This window comes from Homo sapiens, chromosome 5 (assembly GCF_000001405.40).
Source record: "Homo sapiens chromosome 5, GRCh38.p14 Primary Assembly".
Classification (NCBI taxonomy): domain Eukaryota; kingdom Metazoa; phylum Chordata; class Mammalia; order Primates; family Hominidae; genus Homo; species Homo sapiens.
The window spans coordinates 123,155,074-123,177,340 of NC_000005.10; the positions used below are offsets into that span (position 1 = coordinate 123,155,074).

General features: G+C 40.9%; 1 protein-coding gene across 4 annotated transcripts in view, besides 2 other annotated features; it reads left to right on the top strand.

The window, feature by feature from the left end:
* Positions 1–22,267, top strand: part of PRDM6 (PR/SET domain 6) — a 105,026-nt gene that overhangs the window by 65,833 nt on the left and 16,926 nt on the right. For 3 of the 4 annotated variants that reach the window (XR_001742346.2, NM_001136239.4, XM_011543726.4), the window contains 3 exons: positions 811–938; positions 4,441–4,565; positions 15,693–16,035. Coding sequence is in view for 3 of the 4 variants with exons in the window: in NM_001136239.4 (NP_001129711.1) it covers positions 811–938; positions 4,441–4,565; positions 15,693–16,035 (596 nt within the window). In the remaining variant the exon portion in view is untranslated. Of the gene's footprint in view, positions 1–810; positions 939–4,440; positions 4,566–15,692; positions 16,036–22,267 lie in introns of those variants that run through there. The other variant, XM_047417878.1, reaches the window with a different exon arrangement.
* Positions 2,835–3,054: a silencer, noted in NCBI's record as "fragment chr5:122493602-122493821 (GRCh37/hg19 assembly coordinates)". NCBI's record gives its function as "represses an EF-1alpha promoter that drives an FKBP-Casp9 reporter gene in an ReSE screen in phorbol 12-myristate 13-acetate-treated (for megakaryocytic differentiation) K562 erythroleukemia cells {active_cell/tissue: K562(+PMA)}" and the evidence as "EXISTENCE:reporter gene assay evidence [ECO:0000049][PMID:32094911]".
* Positions 7,893–8,393: an enhancer, noted in NCBI's record as "H3K4me1 hESC enhancer chr5:122498660-122499160 (GRCh37/hg19 assembly coordinates)". NCBI's record gives its function as "activates a minimal SCP1, AML or CMV promoter by ChIP-STARR-seq in primed H9 embryonic stem cells {active_cell/tissue: H9 hESC(primed)}" and the evidence as "EXISTENCE:reporter gene assay evidence [ECO:0000049][PMID:30033119]".

Below are 22,267 nucleotides of genomic sequence, written 5' to 3' on the forward strand. Positions count from 1 at the left end.
TGCTTTCACAAGACTTTTTGTCTCATGCTTATTGAGTGGTTTGAAGCAGATTTCATTTTCTCAAATGCTATCTTGAAAGGAAATCTGCTTGAATTGATGTGAGGCAGTAACAATTAGACAACTCGGTTAAGAAATGTAGGATTCATAGGAGACAGCCATTTTTTTTCTTTCCTTTTTTGAGGGTCTCTCTTTTTTTTTTTTTTTTTTTTTTAATGACTCCTCTCCTACTAGTTTCAGGTCCTGAAAACTGAAGCCCTACATCTTCTTTGAGGTGAGAGTCCATTTATTTCACCCAAATCAGAGTCTGTTTTGCCAGTTCTTTACGGCTCCATAACTCTCCAACTGCCTTCTGCTGGGTGTCGCCCAGCCTGTTGAACAGACAGTTACTGCCTCCCGAATGCCTCTGGGCAGTTGTGTGTTTGAGACTGGGGGGCCTCGAATGTGGATGTTCCAACAATGTCAGTGCGGCCTCTCCTTTCAGCTTGCTTTGTTTATCCAGCAGCTCATTATTTAAGACTAGCCTGTCAAAATAAGTTAAATATTCTTTGGGAAATATGGTCACATCCGTGAGATACCACAAATATGTTTAATACAGAGAAGATTGGCTTGATAAGAAAAACATGATCGACTTGCATCATCAAAACATATTTTCCTGTTATTCCGGTTGAGTTGTCCACAAGCATCAATAAGCACTAGCAAACCTAAGGGCAATAAATTTCTGCAGCTGACACATAAAGACACCAAGGGAAGTAGGGAAAATGATTGCTGATGATTCGTTCTAACTACTTGACCTTCTGACCTCTTCTCCAGATATATGACCAGGATGGGACACTACAGCACTTTATTGATGGTGGGGAACCTAGTAAGTCGAGCTGGATGAGGTATATCCGATGTGCAAGGCACTGCGGAGAACAGAATCTAACAGTAGTTCAGTACAGGTAAAGTATATCTTGATTTACCACCTACAGAGCTGAAGCCATTTGGCTTGCATATACAAATTCAGGCTTGCCACTGGTGGGTAAAAAAAATCCTGCAGAACTCTGCAAGGACTGGCAGACATTTTTTTTTTTTGCTAGGTTTCTGAAACCTCCTTAGTTCCTATGACAGTAAGAGCATTCATGAACATTTAGGATTAAAAGTGCTCGTAGATGGCCTCCTTCACTCCGTGCACATGGTGAAGTTACTCCCACATCATTAGAACTTCCAGAATGGTCTGAATGAGCCCAGCAAACCCACTGACTTGGGGTGCTTTTCCCAAGCAGTCGTCTTCACACAGATAAGTAGAAGGTCAGAGATTCAGCCTCAGGTCTCTTGCTTTCAGTCTCCTTCATGCTGTCTCCTTTGAGGAATAGCTTTATTTGCACAACAGCATGGGAAACCAAGAACTCGCTACCTTCCCAAGGATACCTTTCCAAAACCGTTAGACTTAGTGGCAGTGACAGAGCCAGGGTAACTCTCCTGCTCCGTCTAAAGGTGGCAGTGGGTTTGGCCCTTTGATGATTCAGGATTTGTTTCAGTTGATGAGGCAGTTTCCGGGCATAGAGAAGCCCCTGGTTTCCTGAAAGGTATGGGCAAAACACAGAGGATAACAAAGGCAGGGTGGAGCCATCCCCATTTCCCTTAGGGGGTCCACATAGGGAGGCCTCTGGGGAGCTGAGAAGCAGGGTGGATTCCCCGGACACTCAGCCAGTTCTTCTCAGTGCACCTGCTGGTGAAGCATTTCCACTTAGTGCTAAGGAAGGCTGGAGTGGAGATGAGAGGGCAAAAACAAATCAAATAGGAAAAAAGCCCCACCACTAAGCCTTCTTCTCTCAAAATCCCTCGAAAACGTGTGCTATATAAATATATGACCTCAGTTATAAACAGCCGTGTTCTCTTTAGAATCAGAAGCAACTGTTTAGCTTTATTAGGCACCACAGACACATCAAAGCAGAGGGCTCTGTGCTCAGCAACTTGGAGTCCTGCCTATGGCTATTTATTTTCCTTTCCTTTTTTTTTTTTTTTAAACGAAGCTTAAGTTTTTTCTTTTTAACTTTCTTCCCCTTGTTGGTTAAAGGCTGCACAAATTTGGCTTGCTCTCTGAGGTCTTCAATTAAAAAAAATGTGGGCAGTATGTGACTCACCGCCTTGGTTTTCAGTGCAGTTTTATTTCATTAAATAACAGTTTAAATGAAGTAGCACAAGACAGTATTTCATTACACTGCTGTATGTGGGCTTTATTCACCTTTATTACAGCTGCATTTCTGTTGTGAGGTTTTTTATAAAACTCTGAGCTAGAAAATTAGTGAAGATTGTACTTGTCCACTTAGTAAGAGATAGTTTGGTTCTGTAATGGGTACCCAGGGAGCTATAGAGGCAAATTCTGAATTTGGGAAAACAAGAACCCCCTAAGAGGAAGGTGGGCACGGGTAAGTCATTGCCTATCTGTCAATATTAAGTGGGTTTTTTACAACTCCCCCTTTCATGACGGCGCTTACACTATGAGCTCTCTCTGCCGATCTGTTTTCGATTACTTCAGATCTTTACAAAATGAAATACAAAAGCCCAATTTTAAAAACTGGCATTCATCACCAGTGACCACGTCCAAGAGTAAGAAAATAGAAAAGTTGGACCCTGAAGAGCCAGGCTAATTTTTATTGTACATGAATGTCCTCTTCACAAAAAGTCAGCTGGTTTAAATTCATTCTGTTATGATTTGTAATATCTAAATGGAATTTTCTTCAAAGCACACTTGATTGATTGACCCTTAGCTGAACGTTTTGTTTTTATTTTGAGGCTGACAATAATGTTTATTGGCATGTGTTCCACTTCAACTGCGTTGGGACGCCATGAAGCTATCTTTATGAGTCATCCAACCACAATACTAAATACATGTCAGCAAAGGAAATATTATCTGAAAAGGGAAAAATCCCTTTGATGTGCTTCAACATGCAGAGATTTCTGCGAGTTTTGGAAGCTCTGCCCACTTGTAAGGAATGGTGTACGCTTACACATTTTTTTCCGCCTTTCGGCCTATTCGGTGCCTCAGAAGACCACCCATTGCTCGAAAACAGTTCTGCTCTTTCAGCAGCAAAGTGTGTCATTTGGTTTTAGCACATTCATTTGCTGGGCGCAGTGTTTATATTAAGGGAAGCCAAACCGAGAGATGAAATGTTGCAAGGGTGAAGTACAAAGTAGACTCAATTTTTCTCAAGTTAGAAGATGCCAGTGATTTATAGCTCAGCTCCAATTTTGATTTTTTTATGTAGCAGTGGAAAGAATTAATAAAATGCAGAGCTCTTGGAGATGCAGAGGGAGGAAGGGTAGCAAGAGCTAGGCAACTGGCTGGAGTTTTTGTCAGATATTCATAGAATGTTGGGAAAAACATTCTGCTTAGCTAGCAGTGCCCTCATGAGACAGAATGGCAGCAAGTAAGGAAAATAACAAGATAAATGAAATTTTTGCAGCTGCAAGTACAATATTGAGAATCTGCACTTTTTTATTGATCTTTATGATCCTATTGCCAAGAGCCACTTTGTGGTGACAAAATATGTTGACAAGTGCATATCTCACTGCCATGAAAAATGTGGAGAAGCATTCGCCTTATGTCTGCAGTGTTATACAAGGAACAAATTGCCCTGCTACAGCCAATTCCTTACAGAAAGGAGAAATTTAAGGCCCACCAACCCTACACACTTTTATCTTGAACTTGAGGTTCATATTTGTAATAGCAGTTCTTCATTGAGAAAACCAGTCTCAGTCTCCTCATTTTTTTAATCTGTAGGTTTTTTTTTTACAGTACCAAAGCTATTATAAAAAATGTTCATTTTTCAGTACCTTCACTGTATCGTTTCAGAGTGTAATCTTTCAGCCAGAGTAAAGTGCTCCTCTTGTATTTATTGAATTTCCATCCATTTCACATCAGAGGGTTTTTCTCTTCTCCTGTATCAAACTTTAGAAGAGCAGTGGAGAAGATTTTTATTTCCCTGAGTCCTTATATCACAAAGCTGCTTAATTTTATTACAAATTTTGGAATTCCCAATGCCAAGTTGCAATAATACATTTAATGCTTTTCCTTCAAATAAGAAATCAATAGTATTTATATATGAGGTTGGGGCACCAGTGTCTTTGCAATTTTCCAGGAGGGAATTTTCTCATTAGTGTGAGATGAAATTTTTTTAAAATTAATTCTTCCTTTCTGATGTCTCCTGGGCTAAATATCTGTCTCTTCAGCCAGTTCATTCTAGGGAGGGTCATTGTGGAAATAAATTGAATGCTGTTTATCACACTGAGTTACAGACTCTAATTGGTTGCTGGGGACAATCAGTTGGATGTAAATTTATTACAAACAGAAACTGTTTAGATGGAGCTGCGTAGAACTTTTTCAGGGCAATAAAAATATGGATGGGGGCACATGAGTCCTATGTATTACTAAGCTGGGTTTTCTTTTGTTTTGAATAGGTCGAATATATTCTACCGAGCCTGTATAGATATCCCTAGGGGCACCGAGCTTCTGGTGTGGTACAATGACAGCTATACGTCTTTCTTTGGGATCCCCTTACAATGCATTGCCCAGGATGAAAACTGTAAGAATTTATTTTAGCTCTGAATTCACATTTCAATATACCTATTTCAAAGCTAACTTTTTAAGAGCTTTTTTTGAAACTCATGAAACGTGGTTCACTGTAATAAGTAACACAAACATATACAAGTCTATTCCATCGTTTTCTTTTCCCTGCATGTCATCTGCTTTCTCTAGGGCATCTTAACCTGTATGGGCCAGTCCTTCACTTATCAACAACTTCAAAGCCTTTGCCAGAATTTTAAATAATAGTTGAAGCAAGTTAAGTCAGCTGGTATTCACTGAGTACCTACTATGTGTCTGGTTCTATGCTTGCCACCTTAGGGATTACAAGAGCAGTGTAAGATTCACCTTCTGCTCTGAAGGGATGTACAGTCCTGTGGGAGCCACACTGTATGCAAAAATGAAGTAATAAGAAAGCAATGACATTTAATCAGGGGTAACACCCCTTTAGTTGATTGGGTGTGCTTCCTCCTACATAGTCATTTGCATGAGAAATAATATTTAAAATGGTAGATATGTGACTGAGGAATTTGTGTCTTTCTAAATTTTTTGTCTAAAACCATGTCTGGAAACATGTAATTTTCTCCTATCTTTATTACCGTGCCAACCATTATCTTTAAAAGAATTAACATCTAGGCAAATGTGAACTTGCAGCAACTTTCATGTAAACTTTATATTTCTGCTCTATCAGTTATTTGAAAAGTATTTTAAAGTGATTTCGTATTTGGAACAGAATTAGGTTATTCTGATATGCTTCAGTGAGAAACACTGGTTTCAGTGATATTGTGTTTTCTTGTCACCACATTGACTAATTTGTGAGCTGATAGTTTGATGTTATGCTACAAAAAGAAACAAAGATAACAGATATCTTTTGATAATGGATAAGAAACTTCATTTTGAAAAAAGTGGGTTTTTAAAATTTTCTTCTCCACTTTCTAACACATGCACTCACACAAAAACTGCAATTTAAAAACGCTCATATTATGACTGATCAAAATGCTGATCGTCAGATATTTCTTTCCCATTTTGTCTTTAATTTCTTTGTAAAAAGAAAAATCGTCAAAAAGCCTATTACTATCAACTTTCCTTTTCTATTTTACCCTAACCCCAAAACCAATCTCAAATCAAAAAATAAATCTTTGCACATACAGTACATTCCTCTGATTTTGCAAGCTTCCACTGGAAAGTTTCTTTTCTGCAGCCATATTCCTGTTTGAGGGAGTTCCTGTTTTCATAGGAGAAAATCTCAGTGTTGGCCATGAGTATGCAGTGAGAGGCAAATGTAGACATAGAAGCCACTGTGCTCTGCCTCAAACAGAATGACTCCATGCCCCATGCCCCCAAAACTAGATCTTTATCTATGCACAGAAAGGTGTCAGCATCAGCCAGCCTCCCCATCTACTAACATGTACTTGTCTGTAGGTTGGAACCTTGATGTAACCATCTAGAGTGTTTGATCCAAAAGGATTCTAGAAATCTCACGAGATCCTCTGTTTCTTCTTTTACTACAACCTGCTACAGACTCTGAAGCTGTTGTTGTGGTGTGTGTGTTGAGGGATGTCTAGAGTAAACAACATATCAAGGCCAAACATTTATTCATTCATTGTTCAGATGTGTAAGGAACACCTACCATGAGCCAGTGTCTTTGCTGGGTGATATAAATACAGCAGTGAACAAAATGGAAAGAATCCCTGCCCTCATGGAGCTTACATTTTAATGGGGGGAGACAGATTATCAACAGATATATAAGTGAATAAATAGTTGGTCAGATGGTGATAAGTGTTGTGGGCTAATAAAGCAGAAAAGGGGTAAAGAGGTGCCAGGAGTTGGGAGTTACAGTTTCAGAGAGTGAACAGGGTAAGCTTCACTGGGAAGGTGGCCTTTGGGCAAAGACTTAAGATGGTGAAGGAACAAGCCATGTGTTAGTAGGTAGAAGAGCATTCCTGGCAGCCAGACAGTTATAAGTCCCAAGATGGGAATGTTCCTGGCATGTTGGAAGAGCATCACAGAGGTCAGCATGGGTGCGGCTGAGTGAGTGAGGTGAAGAGGGGTTAACTTAGATGTGGGTGCGTGCTAGGGCAGGGAAGACCTTGTAGGGCCCTAGAGGCCATTGTCAGGACCCTGGCTCTAACTCTGTGTGAGCTAGGCAAAGGGAGCTGTTGTAGGGTTTTGAGAAAAAGAACTATTTGACTGAATTTTTTTCAGGAATAATCCCTGAGTGGAGACTGGACAGTAGACTGGACAGGGGGAAGAGCAGGGAATCCAGCTAGAGGCTCTTGCAGAAATCCAGGGGAGAGATGATGGTGGTTTGGACTAGTATGGAAGTGGTGGAGGTGGTGAGAAGTAGTTGGATTCTGGATATGTTTTAAAAGTAAATCCAACAGCATTTTCTGACACATTAGATGCTGAGTGAGAAAGAGGAGTCAGGGATGACTTTGAGGCCTTTGGCCTGAGGAGCTGGAAGGATGGCATGACCACTTACTAAGCTCTGAGCCAGAAATGGAAACTGTGGAGTGACCACTTAGGAAATGCATTTCTTACCCTCGATCTGGATCTCTGGCGTGGGAGACTCATATCCACATGGTGCTTCCACCTGACAATGCTGTCACACGGACAGGAGGCATTGAGGGGTTGGAGTAGAGCATTTTTGGGTCTCTGTGCCATTCACAGCCACCTGAAAATGGGTGTCTAAGAGCATACCACTGGCCTTCAGATTTGGTGCCACCGTGCCAAAAATGTACTTTCTGGAAAAAACATACCAGTTTGCTTTTCAGTTCTTCTTTCTGCTAGTGTCTAACCTGAGTGAAGCATTCTTGAGATTGATGATTAGAGTATTGAATAAACTCTACCAGGATATATGATATATCATTTAGCACCTGAAGTCCTTGAAAGAAAATTTGCAAAGCTACAACAGCTTGAAGTATTGTAGACTCAGTAGGAAAACTAAGTAGTTCTTTTGGGTTCCGTTCAGAGCTCTAAGTAAGGGTTGAGGGAAGTTTAAAAGGAATTAAGCCATTGACTAAAGTGCTCAACAGTGACAATCCCCTTTCCCCCAAGGGTATTATAGGAATTTTATTTCAGTTCCTGTCTCAGAGTCATATATCTGTCATGTGATTGGCCACCCAAGAAACCAGCAGAAGGCTTCATCAGATCGTGTGGGGGAGATATATGACTTTGACTGCCTCTAAGATGGATTCTCATTCCATGTGATTCACTGGGAGACCTGGAAACACCTAAATGAGGATTCCTTCTTCTGTGCTAAGAAAATACTCTTGTGATTTGAAAGCACAAATGTGTAAAAGGGCATGGGCAGATAATTTAACAGATAGCCTTCCACAGCCCTGAGTAATTTAAATCATCTCCACTGGATTAGCAATTCCAAGACATTTTTATCCCACTGAGCTAGCCACAAAATAAATTAGGTACCTAAAAAGAAGCTTGAGATCAAAGACTTTTTCAATAAAATACCTCCACAGAGCCTCTTTATAGGGCTCTGCGCACAGTGAACAATGAAGAAATGTGCACTGAATAAATACTGAGAATTTCTATTACCATTATTAGAAGGGATTAAATATTTCAGGCAGATTTTTTGTTGTTGTTAATGAAATTGATACCTGGACCAAGGCATTCAAGGAAAATATGATTTTACTTAGTGAGTAATATTAAGCACTTTCACTTATAAAAATATAACTTTTTTCCCATGGTTCTTTCAACATTGAAAGTACACATTTCCTATCGAGAGTGTGCGGTGGGTTTGGGTTCAGGACGTGCCCCCTCCGCTGGCGGCCCCAAAGCAGGGCGGCCGTGGGTACACTCACTGCCCGGACAGCTCATTGAAAGCTGCCTTGACTCAGAGAAGACAGCAGTTCACACAGGCATTTGGGTTCTGGAAGCAATTCCCATGTTATTTTCTTTTTTAAAAAGTCGTATTATAAATGTAATAGAGCTCCAAAGAGAGTGCCTTTCCATCCACTGTGGGCCTTTCAAAAGAGCCTGAAGGAACGCCTGTGTCGACAGATCACATCCGCAAGAAGGAATGAGGTTCCCCAAAGCTTCCAGTGGGGGATTAGCTCCTGCAGAGTGTAAAGACCTTAGTGTATTCATATTCGTTTCAGAGGAAATTAAAAAAAATCCTGGGAATAAATGTTAAACAAGTCTTCCTGCTGCTTTTTCTGTCTCAGCATATGAAGCTGAGGTGGCAGAATGTGAACCTTGATGGCAACAGGGGAGTTGCTGCACTGGAGTAAACCCTGCCTGGAGGAGCCCTGCCTTTTTCTTTTGATTTTAAAGAGCAGAAAATAAAAAGTGGGACCTCTTCACGGTGCCCCTCACCCCCACCGTTCCACCAACAGCGAGAAACTAGGTCAGAGTCAGGAAGGCCCTACTCAAGCCCTTAGTGGTGACCTTTAGAAGATAATGTATAGTTCAGTCCACAAGACCATCTGTGCAGGGCCCCAGGGGAAGCGTTGTGATGGGTGCAAAAAGCCAGGCCCTGTCCTGGAGGAGCTCAGTCTACAAGAGAACACATAAGCACATAACCACAATATCAAACACTGTGCAGATGCTGTGTGAGGTGGCCACAGCAGAGAGCTTGAGCTCGGGGCTGTCAGGCTGTCTAAGTCATTCAGCTGGGAGAAGTCAAGGTTCCAGGCCTCTTGTGTACAGTGCAAAGCTGGGGTTGGCTTAGAACCAGGAACCAAAAGATACTTTCCTGTCCCTGAATGGGGAATAGAAAAATGCTGCCCTCAAGCCAGTAAGCTAAGGAACTGTCCATCTTGGGGCACTGGTGAAAACAAAGTCACACTCTAAAACCTAGCCCTAGTCGTAGGATGTTATGAGGCTTGATTTTGTACTACTTGCCAGCTATGGAAACCCTGAGCCAAGAAACTAATATAAAAATTGGTCTAGAGCTGTTGAAACCTGTAGGTTCCTAGAAGAAGAAAGAAGTCACTCCGCAGGGATGCTTCTGACTCTTCTGCAAGACTCCAACAAGAAGGCAGCACCCACTAAAAAGGTGTTGACAGAGACAAATGACAAAGGTCTCAGGGAAAGTCACTGTTATGAGAGATTTGACTTTTTGCGTGCTGTAGGATATTGTGGTGTGCTGCCTCAAGCCCAGCTTTGCTACTGGATGGAGGTGCTCATTCCGACTGTTTGTGGGAGTGTAGGGGGCTGACATCTCGGATGAGTTGTTTCCAGGAATTACCTTTAGCCCACTTGAACCACCTCGCCCTTGGTCATACTTCCTCCCACAGTAGCCCATGACCAATGACTGGTCAATGTGGGGTGTATAAAGGACTGTTCCCTTGCCTCAAACCAGGACAACCCTAAAGGACATTCATTCCATCCAGCTCCAGAGCTGTTAAACTCCTCCCTCAGCTCAGTGCTGCTTGCCTCACTTCCCAACAGGTGTTGATCCTGAGAGCAATCCCCAAACCCCAAATCCCCATTTCAGAATCTGTTTCCTGGGCGACCTAATTTGAGACAGGTACTCCCAGATTTCCATTTTCAATCCAGACCTCCTTACTGAGCGCCAGACTCCTCTCCAGCTGTCTTGGCAACATCTTCACTTCCATGTCTCACATGCAACTCCAACTAAACCTGCGTAAAACTAAAACCACTCTATTCACTCCCACTAACTGCCTCTCCCATCTTTCAGCAGCTCTCACTCCCAATCATCCAATTGCTCTGTCGAGAAACCTTGACACCTCACTCTTGCTCACCCTTCTATCCAATCAGCCACCAAGTCCTGTTGATTGCATATTCTTAATGCATTTCTTCATTTCTGCTGCCACCTGACTAGTGTCACCATCCACTCTGGCTTGGACCCCTGCAGTAGCCTTCTGCATGACTTCACACTTTCTTTCTTTAGTTCATGGTGGCCAGAGTGAAGTTTCAACCACTTGCTTATTTTATTGTTTCAGTTTATTCACTTGTTTTGTTAATAGGTAGCTCTGTCCCATAGATCAAAATGCAGAAAGTACTGTGGACATAAAAGTCTAGTCTCCTTCCAAGATGCCATCAGTAATGTTGGCAGATTCTCAGGTATTCTTTCAGAGATAATTTTTGCCTATTCAAGCATCTAATCGTATTCCCCCTTTTATTCTCTGGCTGTCATTCTCCCACATGTATATGTAGCACACTATATACACTGTTCTGTACTTTGTTTCTTTATTTACCGATACAGAGTGATGATGCCTTTAAAGCGTAAATCTGATCATCTCACACCCAAGCCTAAAATCTTTTTTTGGCTTGCCATTACTCTTTGCTAAATCCCCAGTTCCTTAATATGGTAGCCTATGGGTCACATAGAGTCTCCAGAAACATTTTCTATGGCCCATATAGCATTTTACAAGATTAGATTCTAAACATCTCTAGACTGGCCGTGCCCTGTTCAGAATGTGACCGCCCCCACCATCCTCTGTTGTGTTAACCTGCCTCCCGTCACCCCGTCAGATATTTCCGTGGCCTGTCCATCTCCCACAGGCATTGGCAATTGTGCTGCCTTCCTCTCAAGCCTCGGCTGCAGCCCATCTCCTCTTCTCTCTCTGGCCACATTGCCTTTTTTTCCATTCCTTTAGTGCCCTGAGCTCCTTCCTACTTCAGCATGGCACAAGACTCTATGGCAAAGCTGCCGATATTCCATCTTTTTGCATTGCCTTTTCCTCCCTTTGCACTTGTATGATGCCCGTGTACCCCTCAGGAACCCAGATTCTCTGATTTATCATTTCCTGATATCCTTTCTTTTCTCTAACAGCACTTACCACACTTGTCTTAACTGTATTTTGTCAATTCTAAAATTTATGTTTTTGTTTTTTATTTTACATTTTAATCTTTCTGAAACTGGCAAGTGTCTTGCAATTAATGGTGACTTACGATTATAATGGTGAAATTAATGGAATGTTACATTTGATGAAACTGAGTAAATATTTATCTGTAAAAACATCAGCTTAATAACTGTCTTTCCCACTAGAGTTTATGTGCCAGAGGGCAGTGACTTTGGTTTTCCTGATCCCCCTATATCCATGGTGCCTAGCACAGGGTCAGGCATGTAATAGATGCTCAGCAACTATTTGTGGACTGAATGAATGAACGAGGAAGGGGTAAACTGAACTTAGTTTTATAGATCCTGAATTTGCCTCTCTCAATATTTTAACTGTCCAAATTTCATGCGTTCATGTTCTTCCTTGACTGTATCCTTTAAGGCTTTGAGAGTTTGCCCTCTTCCCCTTAATTTTTGCGTTTCCAGACTGAAGAGATTGACTAGCTCAATATTGCTTCTTGCAGAAACCACTTCATCTTTTTGGTCATTTTAATAACCCATCTCTGCACCTTTTGCCGTTGTCTATGTTGTCTTTCTTGTGTTGGGATGAAATTTCCTGTCCTTTTTCTGAAAATTTCTTGTGTTTAGTTTATACCTTTAATGGACATAGTCAGTGAGGCTGATATTTAGGAAGAATAATCTTGTGTGTCTCCTAAAAGTGCTGCTTTAAATTTTTTTTAGGAGATAGAGTCTTACTCTGTCACCCAGGCTGGAGTGTAGTGGCATGATCATATACAATAGAGCATTGTAAACTATCGTCACCCTACTGATCTATCAAACACTAGATCTTATTTCTTCTACCAAACTGTAAATTTCTACCCATTAATCAATCTCTCTTCATCCCTACTCCCCTGTCACCCACACATTCTTTTGTTTTAATATAAAAGGTTATGTGACCTTAACAATTTTTTAGAATTAATCAATTAGGTTACTTTTTTTTTTTTTTGAGACGGAGTTTCACTCTTGTTACCCAGGCTGGAGTGCAATGGCACGGTCTCGGCTCACCGCAACCTCTGCCTCCCAGGTTCAAGTGATTCTTCCGCCCCAGCCTCCCAAGTAGCTGGGATTACAGGCATGTGCCACCACGCCCAGCTAATTTTGTATTTTTAGTAGAGACAGGGTTTCTCCATGTTGGTCAGGCTGGTCTTGAACTCCCGACCTCAGGTGATCTGCTTGCGTCAGCCTCCCAAAGTGCTGGGATTACAGGCGTGAGCCACCACATCCGGCTCAGTTAGGTTACTTTCTAGGAGTGTAAGTCAGAGCTCAGAATCTATCATCTACACTTAGAGTATTATTTGTATTATTTACCCCCAGAAGCATTTTATTCCTTTTCTTACAGTGAGGCAGCTGGCCAGTATTTCCCACTCTCTTGCATGTTGATGACATCTTCATTCTATGGTTTTTCTCACCATGCATTACTTCCTGTTAGTTTGAAATTGCCTGGCCTGTAAAAGCTTAATGTTGCCTAAAACCTCGTGGGCTTCCCTGTGCTTTGCCTCTCCTGGATTAGTAATGAAAGGGCCAAACAAGGTGGTTCTACCCCAATCTCTGACAATGCTGCTGTTTTTATGTTTTATTTAAAAAAATGCCAGAGCATGGCAAAACATTCCTTCTTGTCGTTCAGTGCCTATTTAAAAAGTAACAATCTGTGTGCCATAATATATTTTTTAAGTGTAAAAACTGTCCACAAATTCTATATTGATTATATTCTTTTGCCCCAGAATTGAAATATACATAAATATTTGTATATAGAATAAAGACATACATACAAACATACGTACGTAGGTGTATATAAGTATATGTATAACGTAAGTATATATAACATGTATATTTATGTATATAATACACACAAAACAATGTACTAGCTGTAAAAACATCCTTTAAATTTCGAAACACAGCTATTGAGCAGAGATGCTATGAATGTATGGTCAGAAAAAAAAAATTCTGTCTTATAAGTCTGAAAGCTAAAACTTGCCACCTAGATATGTTCTTAAGTGAATGTGTGACCCAGGGTAAGTTACTGGACCTTCTTGGGACTCGGCTTTTGTCATTTGTAACAGGAGAAGGTAGGATTAGATCAGTGATTCTCAGCCCCGATTTCACTTTAGAAGCAGTTGGGAAACTTTAAAAAATGTAGATGCCCAGGCCCTATGGAGAGATTATAATGTAGTTTTTAAAGATTCTCCTGTGTGAGTCTAATGTGCAGTACCCAAGGTTAAGAACTGCCAACTAGACAAACGCTAGGCTCTTTCTAGGTCTGCAAGTCTCTTGCTTTACTTTTCTTTCCTAAGACAGTATGGGCTATGCCGACAGAGCCCTGCAGACAGAGCTAGTCCTCTGGTTGGATTTGCTTAACACATGTGATGCTGCAGAATGTTCTCAGTTGAAGAGTGCTTAGGCAGCACACCTACTCCTTTCTGTGCCCACACATGGCATCTCCCTGTCCACTTGAGCACAGAGCTTCGTGGCAGTCATAGTCCCCCACCGTTGAGGATGCCTGCATCTTCGTGCCATGTAGCATTCTCAGAGATGATCTGTGGCACAGCATGAGGAGTGCTCCCAGGTCATGTGTTTCCTGCCACGCGGCCTTGAACTGGTGGCCAGTGGCCATAGTCTGCATTATTTTGTTACTTGCTATCACAGTCTTTTTGCCAATATCCTTTTCAAAATTTTTGGTCTCTAATTTCATTCTCTTGACCACCTGGTAACTTTAATCTCTCAGCCTTGAAATGATCCATAGATATAGTAGTTAAAATAAAAAAAGAAGAATTTTTAAGCCTATTAGGTTCTAATCACTTCTGGACCTATGAAATGACCAGCAAATAGTTTACAAATATTATTAACTCACTAATGTCTTAATAAAAAGAACAGCAAATTCTAGCTATATTATTAGATTTATCTCCTCGGAAGTATTTCTTCTAGTTCTCTCCCCACTTCCACTGCCACCACCCCAGTTTAGGGCCATCTCCCTCACACCCGTCGCTTCTCCTTCTATAACAAAAATGGTAGTTGCTGTTCATGATAGGCCCTGTAATAAGTACTTTCATTGGTGTATTTAAACCTTGTAAAAGGGGACTTTAAAGATGAGGATGCTAAGGCTCATAGGGCCGAACATCTATTTAGTGTCAACCATAGGTCAAGCTCTTTACTAAATGCTGTCTCTATGTTATGTCATTCAGTCCTGAGAGTGACTATTTTACATTATACCAGGGACCAAATCACGGATTTAGATGTTCCATACTTGCCCAAGGCTAGTAAATAGTGGAGTTAAAACCTCAGCCATCTCAGCCACCACACCATGCTGCTATTATTTTTAGAAGCATTAGTACCACTGTCCTCATTTTATAGATGGAATAACTGCGGCCCAGAGCTATTGAATACTTTGCCTAAGACCACTTAGCTAATAAGAGGAAGAGGCAGGATTTGAACCTAGGTCTTTCAGATTCCAAAGCCCGAGTCACAAGCACCACACTTGGTTGCCTCCTACTCTTTCCTTATCCACTTGCATCCCATCTATAAATCAGGTCTCTCTCAAGCCCTTCCTGAACACTGGTTCTATTTTTCTTGCTATCCCTCTGCTCAGGAATGGTCTGTGTCTACTTCCTAGGTCTGAAATATCTTATTTATTTATTTGGACTTTTAAGGCCCTCTGAGGTCTCCTTCTGACCCCCAATCCTTATTCCTAGAGTGACCAGATCCCATGCCCTGCTCAGTCAGCCCGTCTCCCTTACTGCATGCGACACTCCTCCTGCCTCCTCCCACCTGCATGCTAGACTTCTCCTGCCTCCAGGTGTCTTTCGTCTTGTTCCCTTCATCTCTTCAAATAGCTTTTCCTGGATACCTATCCTGTGCTGCCAAGATCTGGAGGAAAGCCTGAAATTCTCCATCAGTCAAGCTGAATCCGTTTTCTCTGCACTGCTCAGGGCTACCCTCTCTGGGCAACATCCCCTGCTCACTCCCTCTCTCTTGCTGTGCCTCCCATCTAAACTCCCTCCAGGCATAGGTGCAGTGTGGTGCTCACTATGGACTCCTGTATGTCTGAAGTCATAAGTGAACTCCATGAGGGCAAAGACCATGTAAAACAATCCTGAGCATACAGTTGCTTCATAAATAGGCATCAGATGAGTTATTAATCTGTGATAATAGTTTTTTCCCCTCAAATCAGATGGTTTGTTATGTTAATTCTGAGTCCAGAAACACAAATTCTTAAAAGGTTGATTTATTTGATTTTTTAAAAGTATGTGTTATTGTGCTTATTTTAAAGGCTAATAAAACTGTTCTTCTAAACTGTTGCTATTCTCCTAGTAAATGTCCCTTCAACGGTAATGGAAGCCATGTGCAGACAAGACGCCCTGCAGCCCTTCAACAAAAGCAGCAAACTCGCCCCTACCACCCAGCAGCGCTCCGTTGTTTTCCCCCAGACTCCGTGCAGCAGGAACTTCTCTCTTCTGGATAAGTCTGGGCCCATTGAATCAGGATTTAATCAAATCAACGTGAAAAACCAGCGAGTCCTGGCAAGCCCAACTTCCACAAGCCAGCTCCACTCGGAGTTCAGTGACTGGCATCTTTGGAAATGTGGGCAGTGCTTTAAGACTTTCACCCAGCGGATCCTCTTACAGATGCACGTGTGCACGCAGAACCCCGACAGGTAACCCTGACTCTCACTGCTGACAGTGTGTTTGCTTAGTGAGACCCACTGCTTGCCTTCCCGCCAACTTCTGAGCACCTCCACAGGGGAAGCCCTGTGATTTGTGGTGTCTGCATTCTGGAAGGTCAGAGAGAAATGCAAGACCACTGCTTGACTTTCTTGCATATAAGGGCTGCACAGACAGGTTGGTGGCTGCAGAGAGGAATCTGCACTTGCCTTCCGAACAGTTCTGCCCAAGCCTAAAAGAGAGAGAAATAGAAGGAACGTTTATGAATATCATAGGTGGAAAAATGAGGTCAGGATAATTAGAATCTTCTCTGTCTTCCAAAGATAATATAGCTGGCTGCTCTGCTGCTGTCACAGTCATTTCAGGGTTCACCTCCAGTGTGCCGTGGGTATGAACTTAATTAAGTACTAAGAGGTAATGAATTGGAATTTTTTGCTTAGTACTATTTTTCTTCAGAGCATGCAAACCCATAAATCCTGCAAAGCTGTCAAAAGGAAATACCTACTCTGCTAGTGATGTGGAGGAAAACAGATGCCACTTATTCAATAAACTAATATCCACACAGAAGAAAAATGTTGACTAGATACCTCAGAGTCAAAGTTGGTTTGAAAGTTTGTCAATAAAGAATTTTATGGCCATGAACTGAGGATGAAATTTAGCTGAACAAGTGAATTAAAATTTCAGGTACTCTGATGAGTGGCACAGTAGATATAATGGAACTATTATTTATGAATCAAAACCGGTTTATTTGACAGTTTTGATAGCTGGGAGCGCAAAAGACAAAAATCAAATTAATTCAATAAGAAAGGATTGCTTGTGTTTTTATCTCTCCTTCATGTTCTATGAAAACTTGATTAAAATCCAAGTATCTAAGAATAGCATTCAAAATGCACTTTGAATATAAAAGCAGAAGATAATTTTTGAAGCTGGGGTAGGAGACTTGGAAGCAGGGCTCTTGGGTTATTTTCTTAATTTTGCCACTAATTTAAGCAAGCCACTTGGCTCTCCTCGCCTAATAATGTACACCCAGCTCTTCCCTCCCAGCTCTGGAGGGTACACAGTGTGCCTAGAAAACCCAAGCAGAGGCAGGGAGGATGGAGGTGGCGGGGAGAGGGAGTGGATATTTTGTAAAATAATAATAATCAATTACAGGATACATGTGCACATTACACATGCATACATTTTTATTTGTGCTGTTGGAAAAACTACTTGCTTAGCATCAACATTGCTGTAGCTAATTAATGTTGAAACATTAATTAGGGTTGTTAAGGCAGCTATGTCTTCACAATCTTTATTTTCAATAGGCGAGCCCCCTGGTGAGAGTATCAACAGACTTCTGCACATCTTAGTACTATTGGCGTAGAGGTGATACAAAAGTTAAAAATGTTTTCCTCATTCAGAAAAGATATTTTTCAAAATTTGCCTTCCTTGCAAGTATACGTAGAACCTCAAGATATGTCTCTTTTAAGTTTGCAAAGCATTTTAGTAGTCTTTAAAATACAAAAGATGCATTAAAATCTGATTATAAACTTGCTTTTTAAATAGAGTGAATTCAGATGGTTGGATCTATTATTTGCAAAGGTTCATTATAGTCATAATAACTAATTATACCAGGTAAAATAAAATAATAGTTGAAAAATTTCTGGATAGTAGAACTTTAAAAGTTTAGCTTTGAAGATGAGATGAGTTTATGCTGAATGCCATATAAAGCAATGAAACTATTTCATGGTAGGTAGATACTGAAACAGACTGTTTTGTCTGATCTCAGTTACGCTTAGAAAATCATATGTGTGGGGCCGGGCGCAGTGGCTCACGCCTGTAAACCCAGCACTTTGGGAGGCCGAGGCAGGCGGATCACGAGGTCAGGAGATCCAGACCATCCTGGCTAACACGGTGAAACCCTGTCTCTACTAAAAACACAAAAAATTAGCCAGGCATGGTGGCGGGCACCTGTAGTCCCAGCTACTTGGGACGCTGAGGCAGGAGAATGGTGTGAACTCAGGAGGCAGAGCTTGCAGTGAGCCGAGATCGCACCACTGCACTCCAGCCTGGGCGACAGAGTGAGACTCCATCTCAAAAAAAAAAAAAAATTATATGTATGTGTTATGATGTCTGTCCTGTAAAATAATAATGTCATAATTCGTAATATACTTATGTATATTATCAGAAAAAATACCTGAAAAACTAGAAAGCTTACGTATTCAAAATACATTTCAGTGGGAGATTGTTAGGTCTATACTGATTCCAAGCTAATTTAGAGTTACTGGCAAAAATCTAGGCGGCATGAGACTCCTGTCTTATCATGGACCCTGATGGGCTTATTTGATTCAGATGTCCAAGTGTGGAATTGCCAGCCTTTCCAGATGAGGTGAAGTAATGGGCTTGTTATCTGGGAAGGTGCCAGAGTGGGATTAAATTACTGAAGCAGTGGGTTCCTTCCCTGCAGTTTGTTGGTAAAGACTTGAGAGGTGTTCACCATCATTCTTGAATAAGTTAAAATAAAAAATTACTTCAAAAGATCAGTTCCTTTATAAGCAAAGTAATAAAATACAATGTTTCTTAGTAATGATGAGGAAATGCTTGACTTACATCATCACATCTGAGTTGATTGTTGAAGATAAGGGGAAATAGAGGGAGATATCCAGTCACTTGGACCCCCTAATTTCATTCTAGTTACATAATTTGCTTTTAGTATAAAGGGCTGGAATGGCTCATTTCTGTTCCGGAACCCAGTATGCTCTGTTTGTACCAGAAAGTTTGGAGATAAGAGATACTCTCCGTAATTTCTTAACCACATGGGTGAATTGCTAAACGGAAAAAATGTACAGAACTGTAATGGGACATCAAATTTGTTCATGACAGTAGCTACGTTTGGAACCTTTTTATGGTTATTATCCACGTGGATTATTACTGCTGAATACAGGTTGAGTATCCCTTGTCCAAAATTCTTGGGACCAGAAGAGTTTTGGATTTTGGGTTGTTTTGGATTTGGGATGTTTGCATTATACTCACTGGATTAGCATGCCAAATCTGAAAATCTGAAATCTGAAATGCATCATTGAGCATTTCCTTTGAGCATCATGTTGCTGTTCATAACATTTTGGATTTTGGAGCATTTTGGATTTTCATATTTGGGATGCTCAACCTGTATACGTATATTCTTTAGTGATTGATTCCAAAGATCAGCTGGCCTTTAGTCTTTAGCAATATATGCCCATTCAGCCACTTACAGTGAAAAGGCTGGATAGTTAGAATGCATTTCCCTTGCTCAGAAAACTCAAAAGCTTTTATTTTGATAGGAAAATCTTGCTAGAACCAGGTACAAGAAAGGCAAGAAAGGGGGACACAGGAGAGAAAGTCAGAAGGTAAAACAGGTTAGAGTTTCAAACAAGTCCAAATTTGAAACAGGCCCTTGAATCTGAGGTCCAAATGATTTTTTATTCAATGGACTGAATATTTGGCCATGAAACCCCAGATATTTCAACCTCCATCCAAGAGACTTTGTGTCTGTATTCATGAGCTTTTTCATGTGAGATACCATCAAAAGTCTATGCCTTGATATAAAGGAAAGAAATCCGTAGATCCTCAGGGATCCCAGCCTCACCATTTATTTTGTTTTATTTATTTTTTTTAACCACTGTGTTATTCACATTTAACACAGAAAAAAAAAATCTGTCTGACCTGGCAAAGTAGAAATCAGCACTAAAGACAAAAAACACACCCATGAGGGTCCAGGAACCATGGAATTATTATTACTTGATTTTGTTCTGTTAAGCAAAATCAAAAATCTCTTCCTCCTTTTTCCCAGGCTACTGACTTTTTCTTTTCCTGAATAAATTCGAAGAGAAGCAGCTGTTGGAATCTAAATCAACCAACATTTTGTTCAGGAACTTTATAAACATTTGGGGTTTTGCATAAGCTTATTGCCTAGGCCAAAGTAGCTTTTCTTGCTTTTGCTCAAACCAAAAGTGCTTTTGCTCAGCACTCCCATTGGGGGCAGTATGGTGGTGGGGGGTATGCTCCAGAAAGGGGTAAGCAAAGCCTTCAATCACAATGGATTGTTTTCTGACAAGTATGTTCTCTTTTATTTCCTGCAGAAAGTGTCTTTATAATGCTTATTTTTATTTTGCATCCCTTTTCTTTTCCTTTCTCCTTTTTGACTGTTTGTGCCACATGGGGCAAGTCTGCCTTCAGCCTCCTGGGCACACCATCACCTATTCACATTTGTGTTTTAAGTATCATTGTTTGTAAGAGATGTGGTGGGATCAGAGGGTAAAATGACATTAGAAGGGGCTCTCTGATAGGAGGGCCTGGAGAGAATTCATCATCATAATAGTTTCTTAGAATGTATCAGTATTCTTGTGTCCCACTTCTTCCCCATCCCCCAAGTGTGAAGGTTATCTTCTTTCTAGCTTTGATGTTCTTCAGGCTGTTTAGTCTTGCACTTCTGTCACTGTCCTGAAATATTTTTCTCCTTACGTAGAACTGAGTTCTTTTCTCACTCCACCCAGCCAGCAGTGACCTAAGTAATCTCTCTTTGAAGTCTTGAGAGATTTGCACTTGGGCTGGCTGATGTTGAACAAGGAGAGATTGTGGCCCCAACTGAACAAGTTTTGTCCTGGAGGCCATGGAAGAAAAAATTAAAGCAGGATTAATATTTTTAAGCCAAACCATACTTAATTTTGTTAAATGTTTCATCCTTTTCCCATGTATACACCAAACCAATTACAGATTAAAAGCAAATGAATTGCACATTTTACTGGAGTTATCTTTGGCAAAGGAGGTGCCAGTGACCAGGAGTGCCAGGAGATGTGCAAGATTGTCTCTCTGCCTTCTTTCTGCTTAAACATTTACCAGCATTGATATATACCAACTAAATCTACCCAGGTGTTTTCTGTTCTTCAGTTCTTTCTTTCTTAAGGAGCACCTTTCTGTTTTTTCATCAAGCTGGGTATTTCTGTGTCAGAACTAGCCACACAAAGCTATTTACATTTAAATTAATCCAAATTAAGTAAAATAGTACTTCAGTTTCTCAGGCGCACTAGCCACACATGAAGTGTGCAGCAGTTGCATGTGGCTTGTGGCTCCAGTATTGGCTAGCTCAGATACAGAACAGCTCCGTCATTAGACAACACTACTAAAGATCTCAAATGGTAAAAAAAAAAAAACAAAAAAAAAACCATAAGTTACTTGTGGTTGTGAGATACTGTCCTTTTGTGAGGCATACTGTTTGCCTTTGCTTTGAGAAGAGTGAAGTGCTATATGTCTATGATGATTTAGAGAGAATAAAGTGCTTTAAAAAGGAGATTTTGGGACTGGGCACAGTGGCTCCCACCTGTAATCCCAGCACTTTGGGAGGCCAAGTCAGGCAGATCACTTGAGCCCAGAAGTTTGAGACCAGCCTGGGCAACCTGGTGAAACCCCATCTCTACAAAAAATATAAAAATTAGCTGGGCATGGTGGCACGTGCCTGTAGTCCCAGCTACTCAGGAGGCTGAGAGGTGGAAGGATCACTTGAGCACAGGAGTTTGAGGCTGCAGTGAGCCACGATCACGCCACTGTACTCCAGCCTGGGCAACAGAGCGAGACCCTGTCTCAAAAAATTAAAAAAATTAAAGAAGATTTCCATTTAGTTGTGCAATGTCATGAGATCCTGGAAAGAGTAAAGCTAAACTCAGCACTCAAGAATGTCAGTTCTTAAGAGTGTCTCCGAGTATGACACATCAAGGGAGGCAGAACTTCAGAACTGATTATATCCAAAAATTTAATAAGTCTTACCTTTTGGTCAGACCTTGGAAAATTAATGGGAATGTTGGTTGTCAGAATAAAAAGCTGAGTAATGACAATTAATTGTGCGCTCCAAAGGCCCTTTGGCTGTATATTGAAAGACGTGGAGTTAGGATGTGCTAATTGAAATGGGCAAACATAGTCTTAACTCCTGTGGCCAGTTGTCCCAAAAGAAGTTGTGATGCCTGAGATTCCAAAGTGATGAAAATGTTTCCTAAGCTCTGCTGTTGGGCCTGAAGATTTAATTTTTGAACGTATTCCTGTTTCCCTGGATGAAACCCTAGGCACATAATCAATTTTAAAATTACTTTTTGATCATTTTCTTTTATTCATATTTTAAGGAAATATTGAAAATACAAGAAAAGGGGGTTTAAAGGAATCTTGTCTACTTACAGTGTAACTTCTGTACTTTCTAAGGGCTAACTTTCTATAAATTTC